At 44.3% G+C, this 26,076-nt stretch overlaps 1 long non-coding RNA gene across 8 annotated transcripts in view, besides 2 other annotated features; it reads left to right on the top strand.

Moving 5' to 3' along the window:
- Nucleotides 1–26,076, top strand: part of MIR4435-2HG (MIR4435-2 host gene) — a 299,296-nt gene that overhangs the window by 45,459 nt on the left and 227,761 nt on the right. Inside the window, exon 2 of one of the 8 annotated variants that reach the window (NR_024373.2) lies at nucleotides 20,083–20,394. The exons of the other annotated variants lie outside the window; for them this stretch is intronic. This is a non-coding gene — a long non-coding RNA (MIR4435-2 host gene). Of the gene's footprint in view, nucleotides 1–20,082; nucleotides 20,395–26,076 lie in introns of those variants that run through there. 8 annotated transcript variants of the gene reach the window in all.
- Nucleotides 13,127–13,691: an enhancer, noted in NCBI's record as "H3K4me1 hESC enhancer chr2:112193589-112194153 (GRCh37/hg19 assembly coordinates)". NCBI's record gives its function as "activates a minimal SCP1, AML or CMV promoter by ChIP-STARR-seq in naive H9 embryonic stem cells {active_cell/tissue: H9 hESC(naive)}" and the evidence as "EXISTENCE:reporter gene assay evidence [ECO:0000049][PMID:30033119]".
- Nucleotides 13,692–14,256: an enhancer, noted in NCBI's record as "H3K4me1 hESC enhancer chr2:112193024-112193588 (GRCh37/hg19 assembly coordinates)". NCBI's record gives its function as "activates a minimal SCP1, AML or CMV promoter by ChIP-STARR-seq in naive H9 embryonic stem cells {active_cell/tissue: H9 hESC(naive)}" and the evidence as "EXISTENCE:reporter gene assay evidence [ECO:0000049][PMID:30033119]".

Raw genomic sequence — 26,076 nt, 5'->3', positions numbered from 1 at the left:
GTTCCACTGGTGTGTCTCTGGGGGCAGGCTCCCAGATCACAGACTGGTTCCACCGTGCCCCGTGACCTCAGCGTGCCATTAGATGGGAGGCCGTTATTTCAGGGAAAAAATCATGTTTGAAACTAAGTGGGTCCCCGGCAGTTTGCAGCAACACTGGCTGCTCAAAAGGACAGCACGAGGCTTTTCACAGCATGTAGATGCCATGGCTTTATGAGAGCTTTGAGCTTGGGAGGGTCTACTTGTGCTTTTGCAACCTTAGTTTAGATTTCATTTGCATCTACTATTTGTAAGTGCACCATTTTTCTAAGGGAAGTATGTATGTGAGAATTATCTACATGATTTTTGTAGGTGGCTCACAAAACAAATGTCAGTAGCCATTCTATGGCCTTGGAGTATCATTTCCCACACCTTTTCTATGGGCTGTCTTTATTTTTGACTCTAATACGTATCCCTTATCATACAAAAAGTTCTTGAGCATATTTGATATATTTTAAAACTTCCACCCCAGTGGAATTAACACTAATTATATTTAATTCCACACAAACTTTTGTCCCAGTTGTAGACCATTTACCTACTTCCTGACAGCAAACACTACACCGCTGTGAAATTTTATTTTAACACATTTGTGCCCATTTTCAGCATTAATAATCGTGTGTGGAAGTGGCAGCAAAATGAAGATATCGCCTGAGCATGGAACCACAAATGCCTGAACGTGTGATGGCATTTGTGAAACAAAAGCATGACATACTTTTTCTTTCCAAATGAGGCAGTGCCACAACTAAAAAAGCCAGTTCGCCTTTCGCTTTCTAAAATCATCTTGCTGGAGAGAACGGTTATCAAATCCCATCCACTGCCCATGTAAAATAAATACCATTCAGAAAAGCGTGGCATGGATGGCCATACTTCTGATGGGTTTATAACTGTAGATTGCATACGATCCCAACGTGAAGCCTGAAATACGACATTCAACGTCAGGCTTATTCCAGGCTACTGCTGTGGCTACTTTTGTAATTCAACCAGTGGGGCGTTTTAGGCTAACGTATATTGCCTCTAAGCTGATAAGCATTTTCCTGATCCCAGGCCCCTTCTAAAATTGAACACACACGTTCAGCTGGGGACACCTAGATGGAAGGAAGGGAAAGAGGAGAACCCGAAGTGAAGGAAAAGTCACCAAGAACAGTTTCGTGGAAAAAAAAAAAAAACTCTCAAGAATTAAGAATGTTGAGTTGCTTGAATGGAGCTTGGGCAGGAAAAAGACCATAACTCTCACACACGTGAAGGTTACTGATACCCAGGAGGTAAAAGAAGTATTTAACATGCTCTAAAGAAGGGTAACCAGAGTAATGGGGCGAAACCAAGGGAGGACGTCCTGGAATGTAATATTAGAAATAAACTTCCAAACAGGGAAGTGTCCATCCGAGTGTGAAATGGGTTTATCAGAAACAAGCTGCATGCCAGTTTCATTGACATTGCAAAGAAGGTTAGAATAAAAAGCTAATGAACAGAAAGAAGAAAGAGGCAAACAGGGTGTGTGTTGAGAGTGGTGGAATATGAAGGATGGTGCATTTGTCCAGGCTGGGGCTGCTGGCCTGAGGAATGGTGGTGGAGTTTTTTTACAGAGCATCTTCTGAGCACCAGGAGAGTCCCGGAAGCTGAGTTTGACACTAGCAAGACCTGCCCTGAATTGGGGACTGCTGGATGCCTGGAAGCTCCCCTACACTTACGTTCCTGAAGTTGGGCTTTTTATCACCTTAGGACTATGGCTTCCCAAACTTGGCAGTCAGCGTCCCGGCAAAAGCCTCTCTATTACTGCGAGGTAGTGTTTATGGAGTCACAGCTAAGAATTACAGAGAAAATCATAATAGGTGAATCTTTTTTTTTTAAAAAAAACAACATTTTTTGACTTTGCAAATAAATTGCAGAATTATCACCATTGTTGAAATATTTTCCATTAAAACTAGAGTTTATTAAAAGTGCCTGGAAGGATGCCCCCTGCTGCCTCCCTGAGTCATCGCTTTGGATTTGTTCTTCAGAGGCATAGATTTATTTCCATAGCAGGGGTTTTCAGTTTTGTGCTTACAGTCCCGCAGTAAGTCTTACTGGCTTCATCTTCTGACCTGCTTTTAAAACAGTCCTCCACCGTGCTAGGTACACAAAGGGATACTTTTTGGGTTTTTTTGAGACAGAGTCTCGCTCTGTCACCCGGGCTGGAGTGCAGTGGTGTGATCTCAGCTCACTGCAACTTCTGCCTCCCGGGTTCAAACAATTCTAGTGCCTCAGTCTCCCGAGTAGCTAGGACTACAGGTACGCATCACCACACCTGAATAATTTTTTTTTTTTGTATTTTTGGTAGAAACAGGGTTTTGCCATGTTGGCCAGACTGGTCTCAAACTCCTGACCTCAGGTGATCTGCCTGTCTCGGCCTCCCAGAGTGCTGGGATTATAGGCGTGAACCACTGTGCTGGGCCCAAAGTGAAACTATTATAACAAGGTAAGAGCAACTTTTCCCAGAGTTAAAGGATGGTGCTCCATGGAATAGTGAAAGTCTGGGACCAAAGCACCTTTTCCCTTTAATTTCTCCAATTGCTTTTAAAATATTCTATGCAATAAGCATCTGAGTCCAAAGGGAGGCTGTGTCTTCCTCTAGGGTCTCTCTGAATGAGGTCAGTTTCTATGTTAACTTTTACGCTTCCTTTTTTGTCTCATCCCAAACCATTTCTCCTCTTGTCATCCTCTTTTTCCTCCTCCTTTTCCTTCTTATTTCTCCTGTTGCCTTTTTTCTACCTTTTTATTTTTTGCCAATATACATAAAATTGCTTGTTAAAAAAAGATCAAAGACAGCATTTTTATATTTTTTTCTTAAAAAACAATATGAAGGGCTGGGCACGGTGGCTCATGCCTGTAATCCCAGCACTTTGGGAGGCCAAGGTGGGCGGATCATGAGCTCAGGGGTTCAAGACCAGCCTGGCCAACGTAGTGAAACCCCGTCTCTACTAAAAACAAAAAAATTAGCTGGGCATGGTGGCGCACACCTGTAGTCCCAGCTACTCGGGAGGCTGAGGCAGGAGAATTGCTTGAACCTGGGAGGCAGAGGTTGCAGTGAGCTGAGATCGCTCCACTGCACTCCGGTTTGGGCAACAGAGCGAGACTTTGTCTCAAAAAAAAAAAAAAAAGAAGTTAAACCATGAAACCACCCATAATATATTAGTCTTCAGAAAGAAAAGAAAACCAAGGTAAGATGCAAATAACAGAAGTACAACTTTTATTTTTCTAATTGTGGAGTGACTCCAAGAGGATTCTGCTCCCACCAGGTAGGCGATAGGCGTCCTGTTGGTGGCGTGTAAAGGAATGGAAAGCTACCACGACCTGGGGGGTCCAAGAGGGGCTGCTGCAGGTAGCCTACCCCCCCAGCCTTCCCCATGACCACAGCCACCCACTCCCTCAAAGTGGGACTTCAGGCCAAGCAGGGGAAGATCTCAGGCGAGGAGAAACAGTCCATCCGAGAGCTCCCTGGGAGAATCTTGTAGACTACACGCTAATGAGATAGGCCTGTCGCCAAAGGTCACCTCCGCACTGTCTTGGCCACAAATGAGGCCTGAAATCCTGCTATTAGAGTTGCACACACACAGGAGCCTCCTCTGGGAGTTCTGTTAACCACTGGTCTGGGAGAAGAGACGGCACAGATGGCCTCCCCAGTCTTTCCAGGGCAGAGCGGTGGGGGCGGGAAGGAAAGGAAGTGCCGAGTAGTTCAGGAGAGGGGGTGGGCATGGGGTTGGGGGGCAGCCTGGGGACACTATGGCCCCATCCTAGCCTGGTGGGAGCTAGAGGAACAGGGAAAGTAAGTCTAAAGTAAGCTAGACTCAGGAAAGGGAAAGAAAACTCTGCGTGTCTTTTTTTCTTTCCTTCTTTTCCTGACACACATAGTCTTGTGCTCTCTCTGGGCTGGTTCCACTAGTGCAGCGATGCTATGGGGGAGGGGCCCAGGGCCCTGATAACAGGTGGGCGTGTGTCAAATAGCAACTCAACCAATGAATGAATGAATCTGCCTCTCCTACCTCTCCGGACAGTTTTGAAGTTTAGGTGAAACCATGTGTACAAAAGCTCCTGTGAACTGGGAGACACTTTGCAATCCCAAAGTGGTTAATAATAAAAATAGTAATACTTTTAAAAAATCATAACAAATAATAATAATGCTATTGGAACCATCAATCTAATACACTTTTTTTCTGTGAGAGACTTATTGGATTCTTTCCTTGGCATGAAAGCCCTGCTTCTCCCAACACAGGCAGGCTCCCTCTGGCACAGGGTGATTGCATCATAGACCTGACCCAACGTGACAGAGAAGCGGTTCTTTCTGAGTTACCAATGGCCATCCATCTTTCAGCAGGCGTGCCTTCCCATTTTCCTTGCTCTGCCCATGAGAATTTTCAGCAGAACCTTGGATTAGGTGTGCCAGACATGTTCTACTCTTGATTGTGAAGATTATACACACTCTCACCTTCTGAGATAAATGTTATTAAATTGGATAAACAACCGTGTGTAGTTTTGCTTTTCTGTTTTATCTCAAGATCCTGCTGACATGGCTAACAGGGCAACTGTGAAAAGATTTTTATTCGTGTCTACATCAGTGTGAAAGGCTTCATCCTGGTGTGTACTAATCACTCAGACAGTGGTATGAATAAATGAAGGAATGCATTGACAAACTAATACACAAGGTGATTCCGGAAAGGCGCACCTCCTGGGATAAATACGGTGACAGTGGTGAGTCTGCTCTAGGTCTACGAAGTTCTTGCTCTTAGTAGAGATCCAGACACCCAATGTTGAAGACAGTTCCTCTTTGCTTTAGAAAGCTTTGTGTGCAAGAGATGGCAAACTACTTCTTAAAAAACAGAGAGTCCCGTAAACATATGCCAAGGTCCACGGTGCTCCAGGCAGGGTGCTTGGTGCCAGAGAGACAGAGTGAACTGAGCTGGCCATGGCATCTGTCCTGGAGAAGTCACACTCCAATCAGGAAGGCAGGAATGTGGGCCAGACCTACAGCCTCTGGGGAAGGGTGTCCATAAGCTGTGAGGTGGTGGCCACTGACTCCAATGGCAGAGAAGGTGTGGTAAAAAGGCAAGGACATCTGCAATCCTTCTCTAACTCTTGACTTATTGTTATCTGCAGCAGGTTAACCACCCCTCTGTTAACTTCCTTCTCTCTAATGAGGATATTAAGAGTAGTTGCCTCAGAAGGTTGAGCAAATTTGGTAATTTACACAATGTGTAGTTGTCCCTTGGTATCCATGGGGAATTGATTCTAGGATCTCCTATGGATATCAAACTCCAAGGATGCTCAAGTCTCTGATACAAACTGGCATAATATTTGCCTGTAACCTACACAGATCCTCTTGTGTACTTTAAATAATCTCTAGATTACTTATAATATCTAATGCAACATAAATACTATGTAAACACTTGTTATGATATTTTTATTGGCATTATTTTTATTGTTTTATTATTTTTAAATATTTCAATCCATAGTGGGTTGAATCCAGTAATGTGGAACCCACAGATATAGAGGCCAAGATACCTCAATGATTGGCAGTTCCAGCATTGCCCATCTCCCTGTACCAATCTGTGCCAACCTCGGAACTGTGGTTGAGTCCCAAGCTAGGGGGTCGGTTCACACCATCCATCCCACCACTGCAGCAGATGCTCACCCAGCGTCAACTCTGAACCAAACACCATTCTGGGCAGGGGCGAAGGTGAGAAGCACAGACCTTGGCCCTGCTCTCCCCTCCTTGGGAGCCCAGCAGAGCCAGTCCCCACAGGTGGGACTCCACTACCCAAGGGAAGCCTGAGGCATGAGGCCTGTGTGTTGCTCAGTGACCGGGTCCATCCTCCCAGTGCCAGAGAAAAGGAGGTGCCCCTCAAACCACAAAGTAACCCTTGGACTTCTCTTTAGCTGGGGTGGTGGCTGCTGGAGAGGGCCCTGCTTGCTCATCTCTGCCAGCTTCCCAGTCCCTGCAACCAGCAGTGGCCAGCCTCTGGCCACCCCCATGAAAGCACATAAAAGGGTTGGGGAAGCCGCAACCCCAGAATTGAGGTGAGCTAGAGTTTGAGGACATAGGTTGCTTTTCACTTATCTCCAGCAAGAACCATGTTATAGATCATTGGTACAGTGACGATTTTATGCTTCTAATTGAATACTGATGAAAAATGGCAATGGTTTCTCAGTTACTTCTTGGAAATAAATTGTGGGTAAATAACATCTGCTTAAAGCTTGGAAACCCAGTTTCCTTTGGTTTGTGTTTTTAAATGCTTTGACGATGCGGTTTGCTTTTTTACTCCAAGAAAAAAAAAACAATTAAATAGAGGCTGACAACTAGGTGAGATCCACAGCCAAGCTATTCTAAGAGCCCGAAGTCACCCTGGACACCCAGCTTGATGACAAAGGGCAGAAATTCAATATGGAAATAGGATCCACTCCAAATGCACCATCTCTGACATTATGATGAAGAGAATATGTATTTCATGACAGGGCAAATGTTGCCATCCTTCTGAGGGAAGATGTAAATGAGGATGCTTTTAGGGATGATTTCTACATTGTCACTAAACTGAGACATTTGTGCTTGCTCGTGCCAAGTGAAGATTGCTGTTGCTGTTGTTCTCTCGCAGTGATTAAGGTTCATTCCCTAGCAACAGGCAGCAGCAGAAAGGAAGCTTTGCAGGCAGAGTCACCGAATAAACGCAGTGGGAACAGTATCAACAACAAACCCAGTGATGAAGGGAGGGGCATGTGGGGCACACCACATTGCCTCTCTGGCTTCTCGTCTGCACCTGGGGCCAGAGGCAGGTGGGAAGGAGACCTTGACAATGTGGGAAGTCCCTTTGATTTGCTGAAATGGAGGAGTTCACATTTTACTGTGCAGTCTAACATTGCCCATTCTGGATTAGCTCCATCAGACACGCTTTTGTGCTTTACTGTAACTCTTTCTTTATTTGTCCTCCTGGAAACTGATCCATAATGCCAATTTGCTGATCAGCTGTCCCTGGGACTTCGGTGTACTGGGCTAGAACCTCAGTCTAGTGTTCAAAGGAGCTGGCAGAATGGGTTGTCTCGGCATGGAGGACCCAAAAGCAGAGCTCCCTGGTGCTTTGGGGGAGAGTGAAGCCCTTCATTCCACTCCTCATTGCAGACCAGCTTTCCTGGTATTCATGCACTGCTTTTGGTAACGCCTCAAATGAAGGCCACAGCTCAGCCAAGTAGAAGAGAGCTCCTAGTAAATGAAGTCTGGTTGCCTTTGAATTTATAAAATAATCAAAGTTGCTATTTCCTGCTAAGGAGACAGATACAGAACAGGAGATAGGCCACAGTCATTACTGTCCCCTGCTTGTTCCCTGAGCCCCTGGCCTTCTACCTTTTCTAACTGCTGTCAGAACCCTGGTTGGGGACTTCCTTTTGCCTGGTTCTCCTGGGCTTGAATGGCAACCTATATTGACAGATTTCATGCCACTGTTCTTTTTCAAACAAGATGATTAACAATGGAATAATTGGGTTTGGGAAGAAGGCCTTTTTAAAGCAAACTATGGAAAATAATTGATGAGTAGCGCAGTTTTATAAAGCTTTTTTTTCTATTACCCTTTAAAAACTATGTTGCTAACTGCACATCACACTGCATTCATATCCTGGGACTAATACCCCTTGACCTCTGCCATATGAATTAAGGTGGAAGAAGGGTCATAAGTAACAAAGTTTCGAAGTTGAATGAACCTTTTTTTTCCTGTAATTTTACTGACCATTTCCCTTTCTGTTTGAGAGATCTGTGCGGTCCTGTTGCTGAGGTTCTGTGGTTCAGGGGTGTTATCGGTGACAGAGTGCTGATTTCACTTGGGTCTGTTCTGGTTTGTCTTAATTTCTCTTTTAGAGCTTAATTTTCATTTCCAACGAATTAGGCAAGACAGAAAGTGACATTTGGAAAAGAGTGAATGGATGACTAAACATTCACCAGACGTCATTCTTGTAACAGTTAAATGGTAGTGATTCATGTCTCCATCTCTTGATAAAATATAAAGCATTAAATCTTGATGGCTAAACACACTGACAAAACTACCGAACCACGTTCCTGGTTGAGGATACCTGAAGGTCGACATTTATCTGGGATCTTTTGCTGCTGCTTTGGTATGACTTCTATCAAGATAGCTTTCGACGAGGTAGAACGTTTGCTTTCACTCTGGGTTTTCCTTGGTTTCGACAATTTTTAGGTGTTAACTGAAGGAAATCCCGTCTTGTCAGAATGTTCTTTTCAATACAAATCGCAGTGAAATAACGGGCTAGAAAGATGTGGATCCTTCTTGATTTTAGGAAGCACACACCTATCGGCAACTCTCTCTGCCTGGCCTGTGTTCACGGCGGTATTTTTGCCTCTGTCACCATCCTTGGGACTAGGTACAAAAATAGGCTTATGTTCCACGTGTCACCCACCACTTCACTTCCTTTTTAATAGATCATGGGTAAGGAGGTGAGAGGACATGAGAAGGATTGGCATGAAGTAAATAACAGTTAAATCTTTTCAGCCAGGGGTGGTGGCTCAAGCCTGTAATCCCAGCACTTTGGGAGGCCGAGGCGGGCGGATCACCTGAGGTCAGGAGTGCGAGACCACCCTAGCCAACGTGGTGAGACCCCGTCTCTACTAAAAAATACAAAAATTAGCCGGGCGTGGTGGTGGATGCCTGTAATCCCAGCTACTCAGGAGGCTGAGACAGGAGAATTGCTTGAACCTGGGAGGCAGAGGTTGCGGTGAGCCGAGATCGCGCTATTGCACTCCAGCCTGGGTGACAGAGTGAGACTCCGTCTCAAAAAAAAAAAAAAAAAAAAGAGTTAAATCTTTTCAGATTTCTAGGCTGGAAATCAACAGAACAAGATCTGCTAGCAGAAGTTGTTACATCTCAACTAAGTATAGACTGGAGATGAATCTGACAACCTGTGACATCTTTAAATGTCAAACCCACCGCACATCACAGATGACATCGTACCTAATGATCAAACTCCCTTTAAAATATACTTCATGTAAATACATTTTTGCGAAACCACAAGCTGTTTCTCTCAGTTTTGTTTTCAGCTGGCTTTGATAAGGAGATTGGTTGGCAGCCTACAGCTAATTAAGCAGCTTTCAAGCCAACATCAGTGAAAGGTTTTAGGTGACTATCAGAAATCCATTCCACTCTCCATGGTCCACCGGTGTCGACTATGCCTTTCAATTGTGCCGACAGACCCTGTCAGAAGAGAATGGTTTCGCACTAATCCAAGTTTACAACCAAAATCATCCTGTTTTCAGTGGTGTAGATCCAGTGTCTGTATCTGTCTTGTCAACTCACAATAGCATTAGCACAGGGGGCTGGATTTATGCTCTAAGAAATGCAATTTACCTTTCTAAGCTCACTTATATATATTTGTATCTAACATATTGTAAATTTCTTAAACTTGTTACACATTTAATTTTATAACTAGAAATCAATTTTTATTTATTTATTTATTTATTTATTTAGTGGACAACAGAAAATGAAGTGCAAGAGTCCCTCATTTCCGGGGCAAGAATTCTGAGTTCCTTGGCTTCTTTCATTCTTGTCTGACTTTCCCCCCTCCAGTTGCAGTTATTTCTAGATTTTGGTAAATTATTCATTGCTTTTAAAAGAGAAAAAGCTCAATTTTCTAAATCTACATTTGAGCTAGCCCTAACCTCTAAAGCCAGATTGTTTTAACAAAATTGTCATCATTTTATACATGACAGATTGGCTTCAAATAAAATGGTAAATGGGAGGAAAAGTATATTTTGCTTACACTTAGGAATGCCTGTAAATGTAACAGAGTTTAAAAAAAAATCTTGGTGTTTTAACAAATGCATATTGTGAAAAAGAGGAAGAAAAAATTAGCTGGTTGCCTGTGAAGTAATTGTGCTAAAAACATTCATTTTTAATATATAAGAGTTCACATTTTAATTCATATACTTGCAAAAGAAAAGTGGGATTTTTTTTCTTAATGCTTTGACTATTTAAGGAAAGCTTTTGTGCTGTGCCAGTCTGCTTTTAAGAAATTCCAGAGTTACAGATACAATTGAGGGTGAACTTGAATTTGTTCCGTGGGCACGGCCTTTTCTGTTGTGGTAAAACAAAGTTAAAATGACAACGGTTCTGAAGAAAGTGCTTCAAGACCATGTCCTGTTTCACTCTTTCCAGATGACTAAAATCACCCTCATTTCCCAAGTCTTACATCGGGGGAAGAGGATATGTGGTTTAAAAGAGTGGCAAGTACTAGTTAAGGTCAGGCTTTTTCTGAATGTGAACATTCAGTTATGCTGCATGAAGATAGGGGCAGGTATTGCAGAGTAAAATTCTCATACAGAAAATGTCTGAAAGTAACAAATTAGGTGATTACCACGGTCTCCTTATCCACTGTCATCTTTAATCGTCATGTTTTTTTTTTTCAAGGCTGTTTTGTCTGTTTTTAAATGCTGTTGTCTTATATAAATCAGGCTACTTGCTTTAAAGTACCAGAAGAATCCTATAATACTGAAAAAATTGAAATATAAAAAAGTGAAGTAAGAATTCTGAGTCACATGTTTTAGATACGGTGTTAAACAACATAACACATTATCTTGAATGGAAGATGTTATTACCTTGGTGCTCTCATCAGTTCAGCTTGCCCAGAAGCAATGCCAACCTTTCACTGAGAATCTTTTAAACTGACCACAAATGTCCCTATTCTTCTCAATGATTTAAAATGTCCTGTGCTAACTTTTCTATCAGTCAATATGTATTTTTCAGTGTTCTTACTGAGTTTTGTTATTTGCTTTTAGTTCTTTTCACTGTTTATTTGCTGGTTTATGTTTTATGAAGAAATCCACTTTCAGAAGAAATGATGACTTATTTTCTGTGGGTGTTTCCTTTCTTCACTACTTTAAGAATTTTCAAGTATAAATAAATTGTGAGAATACATATGTGTGCAAGGAGTGTGGGGAAGAGTTAACTAATTTTTAAATTGAAATGAGGGAAATACTGGGCTGACTCTATTGGTGTTTTTCAGAGTGTTCCTCAATTTAACAAAGCAAAGCACTGAGTAGTATTTCTTTCTAATATAGATGTTTAAAAACATCTTCCAAAGTAAGTAGCAAGAACTAATGCTCAAAGTGTTGTCTGAAAAATCTAGAAATATCTGCATGCTGTTATGAACAATTCTGTTTCTTTATGGAGAGTTGTTTGGGCTTTTTAGAAACTCATTAATTTGATTGTAAGCGCCTCACTGTTATCAGGAAAAGAAGCTTTAGAAAATGGTTTCAGAATGTGTCATTTTCTCCTTGTTTTAATCTGAGACAGTGTGTGGGCATGCTGGTATTTTAAAAGGCTAAAAATGTTGTACATATTGCTGTGTCTTCAAATATGAGGGAAGATTACAAACAGAAGTTTTCTTCAAGCCTCTGTCTGAAATTCTGCTTTTCTTCTCAGTAGTGATTCTTAAATTTTTACGGAGAGATCTTTCATTCTTTTTTTTTTTTCATTTTCAATCTGTTGTTGAAATTCAGCAAAACAAATATTTTAAAAGCCAAGTCAGCTTTCTACCGTTTTGATCTGAATATTTAATGCTTTATAAAATAAAACCCTGTGTTTTAATTTTAACTAGTTTCATTCTTTTTTTTATGAAATGATTTGCGGTATTAGACTGTCATTTGGTTTCAATATTAATATATAACATGAACTACGTGGGTGTCACTTATTTTCAGTAGTAAATAACTGCTTAACCGATTACTTTACTTTAACATAGTTCTACTGTTCTCCTTGAGCCTCGTGATCTGCATCTTCAAACAATATTTGGTGTGTGTTTTTGCAAAATAGCATTTACATACTGTGTCATTAAAAACTAGTTTCATGGTGTCATGGTGGTCGGAATCAGGGAATGTCGTGTAGTTGGTTTCAAAATCCATCAGTAGGTTAATCATTAATTATCCTTTTTCCAGGAAAAAACTGATGAGGTTGTTTCAGAATTTGAATTTACTAGAATTCCTTTTTTTTTGCATTAAAAAAAAACTTTTGCATTTTAAGCTTAAAGGGGGTTAATTTGGTAAGAAAAGGTACCTTTTCTGTTTGTATTGTGGCTTGTTCATTTTCTCATAAACTGTATTTGGTAGCTAAAATGTTGAAAGCAGTTTGGGAACAAAATGTCTGCTCAAACCATGACAAAATTGGCCACAATTTGCCGATTGGGCTGATAACAAAAGCCAGCAACACAAAATAGGTAGAAAAACAGTTTGTTCGGTGATGTGAGACCACTGAAGCTCTTTTTTGCATGTTTTTTTTTTTTTTTTCATTCTGATGCTTATGTTGTGATGGAAATACATGAAGTCTCTGCTTACCCATTGTTTCTGATTAACTATTTCATCTTTGGATTTCTTTTAAAACTTCAGAAAACAAGCTGCCCCCTGGGCATCTGAGACAAATTTGAAATAAGAGCCAGCTCTGCACCTAAACATTGTGTTTTCTCTAGACCCCACTTGGTTGTAAATGTCCCAAAGCTCTTGTTTTGATCGTTTAAAGCAGCATTTAAATTCCATTTCCCCCACCACCCCAATGTTCAACATTGAATTGTATGGCTTTTACTACACTTTTGCAAGTGTAAAACAAAAATTCTAGTTTGCAGTTTAAAAGAAAAGTTCTCCACCTGGGTATATAGTTGACAAAAATGTCAACAGCTAAAAGTACATATTGACTCTCATATTATCTTCGCAGACTGTAAGCAACTATTAATGTTTTACATGAGACAATACATTTTTTTCAAATGATAGAACGAGATAACAGCCTCCTCTCCCTTGCCTCTGCTGTTGTAACTTCTCATACCTTGTGTTGCCTCTGTGTGTGTGATGGTCTTATTTTTTTGGTCTTAAAAATCAGATCCTCCAGGACAATAATTAGGATGAGGTTTATGTTTCTACTTATCTAATCTTTGTTTTCACAAATAAATACAAATAACTCAAACTGAAACTTGATGGCTTTGGTGATAATATAATAGCAGCCACGGGGAAATTTTCTTCATTTTAATGTTCTTTCACAACCCACATTCAGTTTCGGTAGGAAAATTATTAACCTTTTCAACAGCATGCTGAAATATGGGTTCACAATAGACTCCTGAGTATGATTTGCAGGTTTTGGTTCTATTTTGAGATTTTGGTGTACAGTTTTTCTCTTTTTTTCTCTCTTTCTTTCGTTCGTTCATTCTCTCATACCAATTGCTTTCTTTGACACCAATCGCAATGACTTAAAATCCTTCAGTTGATATCTTTTTAATGTGTGCACGTTATACAGTGTTTGCATTTATTTTTTTATTATGAGAAGGGAGAATTCCTATTTCCTTCTCTCCTACTGATTGGTTCTATGAAAGAGGACATACTCTTTATTCTCACTGTTTTTCTCCACTCTAATCCTCATGTGGAGGTTGTGAGTCCTCCAGCCCCATTTAAAAAAATCCAGTTGAGCCACATTTCCCCGAGGGCACCTGGCTCCATGTCAGGCATCAGATCTGACTCCTGTCTGCCTCCAGTGGCCTCGTGTCTGTGTCCATCACACCAAAGCAAGTCCGCCCGTTTGGGCTTGCTGTCCTGAAGGTCTGCACGGCCTCAGGCTTCCAAGGAAGGCCTGGGTGGCGGTGTCTCCATAGCTGACTGCTGCTGGGGCTGCAGGTCTGGAAGGGCTATTGGAGGGAGGTGATCATGATTTTGTAACTCTGGCTTCTTCACCTGAAACACACACGAGGGCAGGACCTGGGGCCAGAGAGGCAGGTGAGTAGGAGGATCTCGGATAACAGTTTCTGTTTTAGGCATCCCCTTCTCCAAGTCTGGGTGGGACAGCCACACCTGCAGAGAGGGCCCTGATTGGGGTCGTGGTCCTGCCCCACATCTGGCAAGCCTGTGCCTCATGTACTCACAGTCACCTTTTTTATTTGATCCCCATCCATCCTAAGTCCCCACCCCCCCGCAGTGCCCTACCCTACCTGTTCCCACCGTCCCTGCAAAGTTGAATATGGAAACTGAGAAACACATATTTTATCTGTAACAAATGTGGACATTTCCAGTATTTTAGCCTGGGTTTTTTTCTTCTTCTTCTTCTGCTTCTCATACTTCCTGTATGAGGTTAGTTTTTTTAAAATGATAAACAAACAATTTTTTTTTTTCAACTTTTTTGGGAGGCCTGGTTGTCTAGTGCCTCCTACCTGTGTTGTTGTGAGCCTTTTGCTGGTGCTCTCTACCTGGGCACAGAGGTCGGTGTGAGCAGAGCCTGAAAGTGGGAGTGGGGGATGTGGTGTTTTGCACAGGGTTGCAGTGAGGAGGGTTGAGCTGGTGAAAACACTTCTGTTCTCCTATTTGAGAGAGATGCAGCAGAATTCATGGTTGTCGTGTTCTGTGCAGGCAAAATGAGCTGAAGGATGGAAGGCAAGGGGGATAGGAGCAGGGGTGGAGCATGGCTAGAAGAGACATTTGATGTTTAGGGAGAGAACACTGGTGCAGATTGAATATCCCACAGTGCTCAGTCCCACGCTGTGCAGATGAGCAACATCTGGAAAAGAAGATTAAGGGATGAAGCATGCCAACATTTCTCCCCAGGTCACCCCAAAAATGAGTTGAAAATTCTGGATGGCTTCTGAGCTGCTTGCTCTTTCCGCCCCCAGTCGGGATCTCAGGAGAGAGCGTCCGGCAAGTAGCTTGGGTACAGTTGACTAAGTGTGAACATCAGTAGCCAGCCGCATAGCCAACCTGCAGTCACCCATGGCCCTGCATACAAGAGTGTCACTAGGAGCAGATATCACTTGCCACTGGTGGTTGTGTGTATCTGAATCACCTGGGCACTGTGAAACACACATTCCTAGGCCCCAGCCCCAGGGTTTCCTTCTTAGAATATGTGAGGTGAGGCCGGAGAATTTGCATTTCTAACAACTCTCAGGTAATGAGATGCTGCCAGTGCTGAGACTCCCATTGAGAACCGCAGCCTAGAGCCAGGGTGCTTGAAATGCCTAAAAACCGTGTCTACTGGAGTCTGCAAGTTGTCTCCACTTTTTTCCTAATGTCCCTTTGTGTGTCCTACCACAGACTTAAAATCCACACCAGCCTCTCAGAAGGCCTTTTGCATTTCTCAGTAACTGCACAGCAAGGTTACCTGTCATCTTGGCCTTTTACCATGTCCATCAGACTATAAAGTGGCTAAAATGTTTTTGAGGTTTGGTTCTCTGAAAAATGGGTTGTATTTTACAGATAGTGAAAGGGTCAAGCTGTAGTGTATGGTATCACTAGACTAGGAAACAATCTACCAAGGGCCAACCCTTGGGTTGCTGCCCCTTGACAATTTCCGCCTTTATTATAAACTAAGGGAGCTGTCATAGGTTCTTCCCTATATAGAGCACTCTTGACATAAGTGACACCATCTTAGAAAAAGACTCCATCTTACATGTCAAAAGGCATCATGCCAACAGGGAACAGATGGCCACCTAATCAATAAAGACCACACCCAACCAGACAGGGACATCACCAGCCCTCTTCTACTATCAGTCCTTGCCAGAGGTCTCAGGGCTATAAGAAGAGCAGGATTTCACCAGCTTGAGATGGTCATCTTAACAGAGCCTTGCTCTGTTGTTGCTCGTGATCAGCACCCGGCATCTGCTGCCAAAGACTCTGCCCACATCAAAGACTCTTGATGTCTGTCCGGAACAGGCCAGGACACTCTCATCCACGTTGCTCTCATTGGATTGGCTCATTAACCCTTTCTTCTATCCCCTTCTCACTCTTTTTTTTTTCAAAGCCACACTTATGCTCTGTTATCCCCTTTCTCTCGATGTTAAATGTTACTGTTCCATGTGGAATGTTTAATATAGCATTTATATATTGATTAAGTTAAGGACACTGCTGTGTATGGTTTGCAATATTGACTGACTTGCAGAGTGGCTTGAGCCTGAGTGCTCACAGCTCTGACTACCAGTTGAACAGGACGTACTAAGGAGAATCACTTCCTTGGGAACTCCATGTAACTTGTGGCTTTTGTGATTGAAATAGCATCAGTAAAAGTCTGACCCTGTGGAAAGACACAAATGTGCGTGGACCCGGCTATGTCTGACTTTGTGCTGCTCAGGACACTCTCTGTAACCAAAAGTGAGAGAGCCTGGAAGACCTCAGGGGGTCAGATGTTTGAAGGAGCTGCTGAGTATCCTGGCAGGCAGCAGAGCCTCACCATCAGTTTGCTGCATGGAAGGCTGTGTGCCTCTATTTCCCTGCTATTTGTTGAACTCCCTTGAGCTCCGGTCCTTCCTAAGTGAGAGAGATGATCCCAATAGCACCAACCTGAGAGGGCTGGGGAGATGTTTGAAGGAAAGCTTGGCTGGGGAGCTGTAGCTGGCCTGTGGTACATCCTTGGTAAATGGTGGCCAGGAGACCCGGGTGTGTGTCCTGGCACTGTCACACTCTGCTGACGAGGGTATTGAAAGTCCCCACTCAAAGACACAGAATCTTCCTGACCAAGTGTAGGTCTGTAATGACGTGTGGAGCACTTTGCAGAAACTGCTTCTCAGCGGGGGTCCCCTTGAAAAGGTGCTAAGTCTGCTCAGAGATACGTGGCTGAAGCTCTAGACGCGGGAGCCTCTGTCAGAGACAAGGGCAGGGGGACTCAAGTGCTGCTGCCTGGCTCCCCTGCCCTGACAGCTCTAGCAGCACACGAGTCTGATTTATACAAAGAACCCATCTCATATCTCCCTAAAATTAGTCTGTGATAAGCAATATACATTTCCTGAGTGTGCGGTCTAGGTTTTAATATTCTGAAAAATAAAAACAGTGGTCTCTTGAGAGCTGAACAGTTTGGTAGTTACTGAGCAGGCTCCATCCTCCTTGGCAATTCTTTTGAAATCTCAAAAAGTTGGCTTCCTATACTGTTAGAATCTGGTGTGAGTCAAGAATGGACAGGGTGTGAGTTCCTCACTCGTCCCTTTTCTATGCATTGAGGAAGACCTCGGTGCTGCCAATGGGGCAGAGGAAGCTCAAGTGTGTTTTTGCATGAGGCTGGCTGGAAGCTCTGGCTTGGGCTCTCAGCAGTGAGGTACTGGCAGTTCCTTGGATGTCACAGCAAATCGAAGCTTGTGGTCTTCACTTCCTCCTACCTTGAGACTTACTGCACAGAAAGTAGAGGCTTGGATGGTTCAACTTCAGGGGCAAAACAGCCTGCCTTGGGGGTGGGACTGGGGGTATGCATCTGTGCCACTGCTTCTCTCCCTTTGTCAGTTTACCATGCCAGCAGCCTTCTGTCTGTTATCGGGAAGAGAAAGAGCATGATTTGGGAGCTAGCTGGGGAGCTTCCTGAAGGTTGCCTGAGCTGCATTTGGGGCCCCTGATGAGGGCTTCTATTCAGGGTGATGTGTGTGACCCTGAGGCCATCTCTCAGATCTGGGGGGAAGTGAGGTTTTGTACCCACAGTGGGGAGACCTACCTGGCGGCTCATCAATATTAGACACCTGCAGGAACAGCAGGTCAGCCAAGCCAAAGAGTAAGAGTGGCCCTGTCTGTGACTAGATGCTTCTTCAGGGTTGCCTCAACACCGGAGTGGCGCTGGTGGTCTCCACCCACTCCCAGTGTACACTGGCATCTAGGAAGCCATGTGTGTGATCGGCCCTGAATTAGGGGCAAAACTTTTAGTTCTCAGATGAACTGTCGTGGGTTTATTCAGTGATAACTAGACAGCCAGGCCAACATGGAGTTGATTCATCCATGCAAAACTTCCCAGACAAGGCCTTTCAGTGGAGAACTGGAATTCAGGGTCTTCTCAGCTTTGGCCAGAAGCCAAAGGTAGGAGAGGTAGGAGAGACCCAGGTCCTGGTCCCAGCTGTGTCCCATCCAGAGTGACCTTGGGAAGGTTGCCAACTTCCTTTTTCGGTGAGCCTTGCTTTCTTCACCTGCAAGGTGAAGGGTTGGTTGGATGATCCGTAAGGGCCGGCCACCTCTCACTCTGTGACTTTGGCCCAAGGTCCACATGGTTGGGTGTTCCATACTGTAGCCCTCCTGGGCTATTACATTTTGGTTTTTCATTGCACTCAAAAGTGGGGGTAACTGGTGAGGGGCACGGGTTGGTAAACCACCTCTCTATTTCAGTGATGAAACTAAAGAAACCAGGTTTCCCCTTCCACCCCTACAGGCCACTGATGCATTACTTAGTTCCTGTTTCTCTTTGCCCACCCAGGAAGACACTGCGTATGAAATCCTGGGCCCAGATGCTGGACTTTAAGCCACATTAGAAAATGCTAGCTCATAGGACTCAAAACGGGAAGCTGGCTTTCCCAACAGATTCATCTGGGCAGTGTTCTTCCCAGAATGTGTAGGAATCATGGGGCCAGGTTCGCCAAGGCTCAGGAAGCTCGGTATTTCACTGTCACTAGCCAATGAGGCCTTTAAGGAAAAAACAGATAAGACTGTAGGAGTTTATATGGATCCGTTAACTCACTTGTACAAGACATTGGGAAAGATACTGGGGGTGGGGGGAAACAATACAGAGTTTCAAAAGATAAATAGAGACTGTCATAATCACCACATGTCCTGGCAGCCAGGGCTACGGGGTCAGGAGAAGCTTTATTCCCTGGCCTGCAGCACTGCAAGAGACCCTAGGAGGAGGAGAGCTCCGCCAGGCCCTGCAGGCTGGGCAGCCTGCCTTCGGCCACATTTCCTAACACCACTCAGCAGAGCCCTGCCAGCAAAGGCCAGTGTGCAAAAAATGTTATGCCCTATATATGTTTGGGAAGTGCACAATAATTTAAACAGCTTTCTTATTTCTTAACTTCTCTGGGTATTTTGTGTGCTACTGTATCTTGTGAATGAATCTCAAGAGGAAGGATGAAGCTTTTCCAAAATCACATGCCTTCATCTCATTTTACAGAAAAATTTGTGCCTAATATTAACCAAAGGAAATGGGGAGCGGCAGGGCCAGTGGGTTTTCATGGTGAACTGAGGGTTGCATCTTGGACAGGTTGCATGTGGAAGGGACAGCAGGGTTCCCAAGGAAGCTTTGCACGGTCATGGGTAGAGCCATCCCTTCTTCATCCATAGTGAATATGGCTGGAAATAGCGGGTAGTCTTGGATTTGACCTCCCTCCCATGGAAGTGCTGTCTCCAGCTCACTCCTGGAAAAACTGCTTTCTCCCCAAAGTGTGTCTGAGCAGCAGATTTAAGCATGAAGTTGGTTTTGTGGGGCTACAGTATGGACTTTGGGAAGATGGTGCCATCTGTATTTCTGATTCTACCGTCCCTCTGTCTGTCTTTGGAAGTATCCTTTCACTTGTTTGGGAGACTGAGAATGATTTTCTGCAAACAGTGAGCCAGACCATGCTGGTCTCAAGCGGCAGAGCAGTTATTAACAGAATCACAGTCTTTCTGGAGCTGCTGTCAGTCCTGTGCTGTCCTCAGGGCCTTTGCTTGGTCAGGGGCCCCACTTCTTATCCACCCTTCCCTCTACCTCACCGAGGCTGCTAGGCCCAGGTGTATTGTGATTATTTGATGCACCTGGGAGGCCATGTCTCCCGGGGAGTCTCAGGACCTCATTGGGCTGGAATTCCACGGGGATCTCTCATTGGGTCTCTTTGGGCCTTTGGAGAGGGGAGTGCAGGGCACCACCTGGGCGAACACCTGTGCCATCCTGTAAGTCCTTGTGTGACTCTTCATCCAAGTCAACAGGGGCATGTAGGGGAAGAGCCTCAGGGCCCATCAGGAGTCAGACCCTGACCAGGAAGTCAGAACTGAATCAACTTTTCAATAAACACACAGGCTGGCCCCAAACAAAGCAGCAGGCTTTTGGGAACATCTGCCTTTTCAGTCTCTTCTGAATTCTGTTTATGTGGACACCCCATGTCCCGCACCACCATTGCCGCCAGCAATGTTTGTTGCTTGCCAATATTTGAATAGATGCTGATAAATTTGATTCTCTGGCTTATTGTGGCATTCATGATATGTCTTTCCCTTTTCAGTTTCCATGTACTAGAGCGACTGTCAGTGTGGTTGGCAGTGACCTGTGTTTTTCATGCATGTTTTTGTTTCAGAATAACTGGGAGATGAAACAGGAAGCTCTATGACACACTTGATCGAATATGACAGACACTGAAAATCACGACTCATCCCCCTCCAGCACCTCTACCTGTTGCCCGCCGATCACAGCCGGAATGCAGCTGAAAGATTCCCTGGGGCCTGGTTCCAACTGCCCACTGTGGACTCTGAGGCCTCTGCATTTGCGGGTGGTCTGCCTGTGATATTTTGGTCATGGGCTGGTCTGGTCGGTTTCCCATTTGTCTGGCCAGTCTCTGTGTGTCTTAATCCCTTGTCCTTCATTAAAAGCAAAACTAAAGAAAACAGAATTGTTTGCTTATTAGCTATCTTTAAACGCTGATTGAAAGGATATCGAATAGTGTTTGAGGGAACCCTGGCACGTCCACACAGCTCATCTGACATGTTTAAATGTGTGTTGGGCTTGACTCTCTCATAACTCAGCCACGCTTGTCTTGCTGCTTCTCATACCTCTCCAGATTGCTGTAGAGTCAGTGTGGGCAGACTGACATTTGAGAGAAACGTCAGGCTTCATCTGGAAGCCTCTTTCCACACCCACCCTGATCGTGGCCTGTAAACTGTGACCCCAAGATCTCCATTAACCTTGGGCTTTCCACTAGAGACATCTGCCATCTCTGCTGCCTCCCTCCCCTCACACATCCTTTACTGCTTCACTTATTCATCCCATAAGGATTTCTTAGGGGCCTGCTGTGTGCTGGTTCTGGAGACAAAACAGTGGATGGGACCAACTCAGCCCCGGTCCCCACCCAGCACCTCTAGCCAAGTCTGAGTGGGCTCTGCTGAAGAAGTGTTGGGTGCAGTGCACAGTTCATCATGGTCGATGCCTCCGTCCCATTTCACTTAGATGCCCCGATTTCCTAAATGCTTTCTTGAACTCTGACACTCTGGGACTGGCACCTGAACAGTCTATAAAACGGTGAAATGTCGAAGCATTCCTGCTGTGTAATCCCACTCTCTTCCCTAACCTCAAGCAGGACAATTTGACCCCCTCCTGAGGACATGGCCAGACAGGCCATTAGTAGAAGCCTTCCAGAACTTTCTGGCAATCTTCACTTTTAAGCTTAGCAAACATCTAAGAATGATTTTAAATGACCATGTTTACTCTTTTGTACTTGTTGGAATTCGTTTACCAATAGGCCATGATGGTGATCACAAAACCCCCTATGTACATGCACAGTGTTCATTGCAATGCATATCCAGGTCTCAACCCAATGTCCCCTTCTCGAGGAGAATTCCCTGAGCACCATGTCGTGAGAGAACCCTCCTTCCTCCCCACCATTTCTCTCTATCTTGTGATTTTATTTTATTTTATTCATAGACTTATCATTATCAGCACTTATCCTGAATGTTCAATTATCATCTGTCTGTCTCTCACTCCACTCCCAAAAGGCAGACTGTGGTCTGTCTTATTTCCCGGTCTGTCCCCGGCGTTTGAGATCCGAGCCTCATCAACAACTATGTGCTGACTGGGTTCATCCTCTTATTACTTCTCAGGCACACCGAGATGCTGAGCAGCCCAGTGCTCTGACCATGTTTGGTGGATAAGGAAACTGATCTGAGTCTGGTGAATGGCCTCACTAGGGTGAGGACCCAGGCTTTCCTCTGGGACATCACCCAGCAGAAAAGGGTGATTGTGAACTCTCTACTGTCTGGACAGTCAGGTTCTCATCAGAAACCAAGCTTTGCCCTGCTGATGAACTTCCTAAAGTTTACGTAATTTGCCCCCATCCTGGAAGATAAAGACCACTGTGTTGTGGAGGGAAATAGCCTCAGCTGGGCGTCTCTGGATGCTACTTTCTCCAGCAGAACACTAAGAAGATCAGATGAGATGAATACAAAGATTCCACCCTGCCCTGAGTTTCTGCTGGTTCTACCTGGCTAGGTTCTAGCAGAAGAGAAGGAAGTATACAAGGGTAACATGTGCAAGGGCAGTGTACAAGGGTAACATGGGCATCAGGGACAGTCCTCCTGAGGATGTGAGGAGCCAGGCCCAACTGTGGGCTGGCAGCCTGCCCCAGGGGTTGCTCACACTCACCTAACTCCGGCCCCTCTGGACACACCCTTGCCCAGGTGCAAGGGGCTCCACTGGGAAGAACATCTCCACCCAAGTGATCACTCTTCCTCTGCGTTTTTGAGCAGGATGAAACCACATTCTCTACCCATTTCGCAGTCTTACCCCCAGGATTATTTATGACCTCAAAAAGATGAAAGTCACAGGTGCAGGGAGGACCAGACGTAACCCATATGATGCCTGCAGGATAGTTAGTTCACAAGGATATTAGGAGAAAGAGCAAAAGAGAAGTGACCACACAATTCTAGATGGTTAAAGCAATAGTTCTGACCCTGGCCAGACATTAGAATTACCCAGATGTTATAAAAAATCCAGACACCCAGGATCCACTTGGACCAATCACATCAGAATCTGGGGATTGAGGGGGTGTAGACATCCGTATTTTTTACAACTCTGCAGGTAATTTCAATGCATAGCCAAGACTGAGAAACATTGGTCTCTCAACGTACCATCCAATGTAGTAGCTGTTAGCCACAGATATCTATGGAACCTTTAAAATGTGGCTTGTACAACCAAGGGACTGAATTTTTAAATTCCTTTTTATTTTAAATTTAAATATCCACATGTGACTTGTGGCTGCCATATTGGACTGTGCAGGTACAGAACATGTCTACGGTCACAGGAAGTTCTACTGGCTAGTGTGGTCCAGGGGAACCTGGAGTCCTATAACTGCCGAGTGAAATCCTGCTGATCCTGAAGGGACTTTAAGGTAATTCTGTCTGTTAACTTCACTAACAAGCCCTCCTGTCTTGGGTTTGTTGTATATTTTTCATCTATGTTTCAAGCCAGGGCTTGTGCAGCAGCAAGGGTGACAAACTTTCAAAGCACTGCACTGTAGGATTGAAAAGCATTGAAAATACAGTTATGCACTCACTAATGTCTCAGTCAACAATGGACTGCATATACAATAGTGGTCCCATAAGATTATAATGGAGCTGAAAAATTCCTATCACCTAGTGATGTTGCAACTGTCATAATGTTGTAGCACAATGCATTATCTTTTCTGTGTGAAGACATGTTTAGATGCACATATTCTTACCGTTGTGTTACAATTGCCTACAGTATTTAGTGCACTGAAATGCCGTACGAGTGCGTAGCCTAGAAGCAATAGGCCATACCATATAGCCTAGGCAGGTAGTAGGCTATGCCATCTAGGATTGTGTAAGTATACTCTGTGATGTTCGCATCACAAAGAAATTGCCTAACGATGCATTTCTCAGACTGTATCCCTCTCATTAGCAATGCATGATTGTATCTGTAAAAATCTAAGGCCCAGACCTCAGTCTTTTGGTGTTCATTCTGCTGGTTTACTCAGTTTGCACCGTTGAAGACCCAGTCCTAGAAAGGAGCTTTCTAAATTATTGTTTAATTAGTGTAATCCAAGAATTTATGAGACTTTTGGAAAAGCAGAGCGCTAGAAGTGCCACCTTTCGGAGGTCACGGATTTAGTCAGGTGACCCAGCAAACTCAACTCGTTGGGGTTAGAGATGGAGAATTAGAACCAAAGCTGAATCACTTTCTGCTTATCACTCATAGACTGCCAGATTTTCTTTTTTTGTTGGAGGGAAAGCACCTTACAACAAATAATAATACTATTTTGAATTTCAGAGCTTTCCCTTTTTCAAAGCACTTTACCACCTCTGACTTATTTTGTCCTCCTAACAAGGCCATAAGATAAGGAAGGGAGGGCTTTTTAGAGCCTGTCTAACACCCTAAGACAGAGCTTAATATTGCTGAAGGCATTGAAAAGTATAGGTTTTGTTCTCTCATCCCTGGCCACACTCAAGTACTTAGTGGCACAACTTGAAGCAAATTGACATAGATGTTTAATCCTACAGTGGACTGTGTTTTTAATAGACACTAGAGCTTCACATTTGTTCTCTTTGGTTCCATCCCAGGTTTCTAACCTTGTGCCTAAATTTTTGGGGGCCCTTTCTTCCTCAGAGCTTTGTGTGTTCTGCAAATTTGGTAAATATGCCTTCATTTACCATGTCTCTTTCCAAGGTGGGTTTCACCATGTTGGCCAGGATGGTCTTGATCTCTTGACCTCGTGATCCACCCACCTCAGCCTCCCAAAGTGCTAGGATTATAGGCGTGAGCCACCGCACCCAACCTCCAAGGTGTTTTTTAAATGGTGAATGGGACAGAACACAGGACAGAGTCCCATGGCTCTCCATGAAGAAAGTCCTGTGTCACTTCAAAGGATGTCCCCTGTGCAGAACCAACCACGCTAGGCTGACATCCTCACTTTTGGGTCCCCAACCTTCTCATGGGTAGAGCTGCAGAGAGTCATTTCAAACCACACTTGCCTGTGGGCAGAAAGCACGGAATTGTCTGTCCAACTGGGGACTCAGGAGCAGCCTGGCTGTCTGCAGCAGCTGCAAAGGGAGCAAAGGCAAGCAGGACTTCCATGAGTTAGGAGGTGGCCTTCTTTGGAGATGAGTGTCCTGCCAATTGCAAGTCCTCCTGGTCACACCATCATCTGGCCCATCTTTTGTATCTTAGATCGGATAGGGTGAGAGGTTTTCAAAGGCTTTACTGAAATCAAGACACACTTTCTGGGGCATTCCCCTAATCGACTGTTCTGGTGAAGCTCGTCAAAACAGGAAATGAGGTTAGCATGGAATGACTTTCTCTTAGAGAACTTATGTTGCTTCCTTGAGACCACCAATTTCTTCCCAAAAGCTTGTGAGCCTTATTTCGTGTCTCTTTTGGGTTTTCTTGGAACTTGGAGGAAGTCTGTTCTTCTGTAGTTTTTAGAATCCATTCCTCTGGAAAATGGTGGTGGTGTTTGCTTATTCCCAGCCTTCCAGACTCTCTCCCTTTTTCTCCAGTATCTCTAAGATGTTTGCAAGTTTGTCTGAAGTGAGATCTGCACATACTTGAACTACAGCAAGAATGGGATTGACCCACATGCTCTGTGCCCACGACCAGGCTGACAGGGCCGCATGTGGGCTCTCTGGCATGGGCTTTAGGCAGCTCCTTCCCCTGAGAAGCTGTTGGATCCACATGTTCTCACGGTATCAAAAACGGCAGGAAGAGAAAACTAACCTGGTGGAGATGAAACTTAGTGGGAACACTCCGCTTTCCTCCCCTGCTCCGTGTGTGAGCACTTGGCTCAGAAATGCACTGTGGCTGAGACAGCCCTATCTGGCTTCACCTAAGCCTACCCCCGTGTTGAGTTCTTTAACTTAGTTATCAAAGCGGCAAGGGTTTCAGATCTAGACAAGCTGCATCATGCTTATTTTTGCTGAGGTTTTCTGACAAATGGCTCTACTTGAAATTTCCAGATTTAAATGTCTGTTTTATTAAAACTAAAGTACTTTTGAGTCATATTTGCTTTTATGTAGTAGAAGCAAGTAGAAGAGAGTCCATGGGAAGGAATAGCTGGCTTTGCCTCACAGGTGTTTAGGGAGGACTGCTGTCTCCAATGCAAGACCTGGATTACCGTTTAGAGATCCACCTACCCCTCATGATGCTCTTGTTGCTGGAATCATGGTCTGTTTCATGCTTTACGTGACTTAGCAGGACCTTGAAAGCTGTCCTGAGTGCCCATGCTGGAATGGGGTAGATTTCAGTTCCCTCTCCCTCACTCCCGCATGAACCTCAGCCTCACTCTACTCAGGTCTAGGGTACTTAGTGTGTTCAGTGATGATTGTCTACATAGATGGATTAATACATATGCACCTTTATAATCATCCCAGCTACCATCTAAGGTTCTAGCTTTCTCTGGAGACATTTTTGGTGGTTTACAATGTTATTTTCCAGTGCGCATAGCAGGCCCCAGAGGCAAGGTGATCACCTCTTTGTTTCAGTTAAGAAAACTGAGTTTTAGTGAGGACAATCAATTTTTCCCATATCACAAAACTGGTCATGTGATGCTGCATCCCATATTTAAGTC

This window comes from Homo sapiens, chromosome 2 (assembly GCF_000001405.40).
Source record: "Homo sapiens chromosome 2, GRCh38.p14 Primary Assembly".
Lineage (NCBI taxonomy): Eukaryota > Metazoa > Chordata > Mammalia > Primates > Hominidae > Homo > Homo sapiens.
Note: the sequence above shows the minus strand (reverse complement) of the source record. Positions and strands in the feature narration are given on the sequence as shown.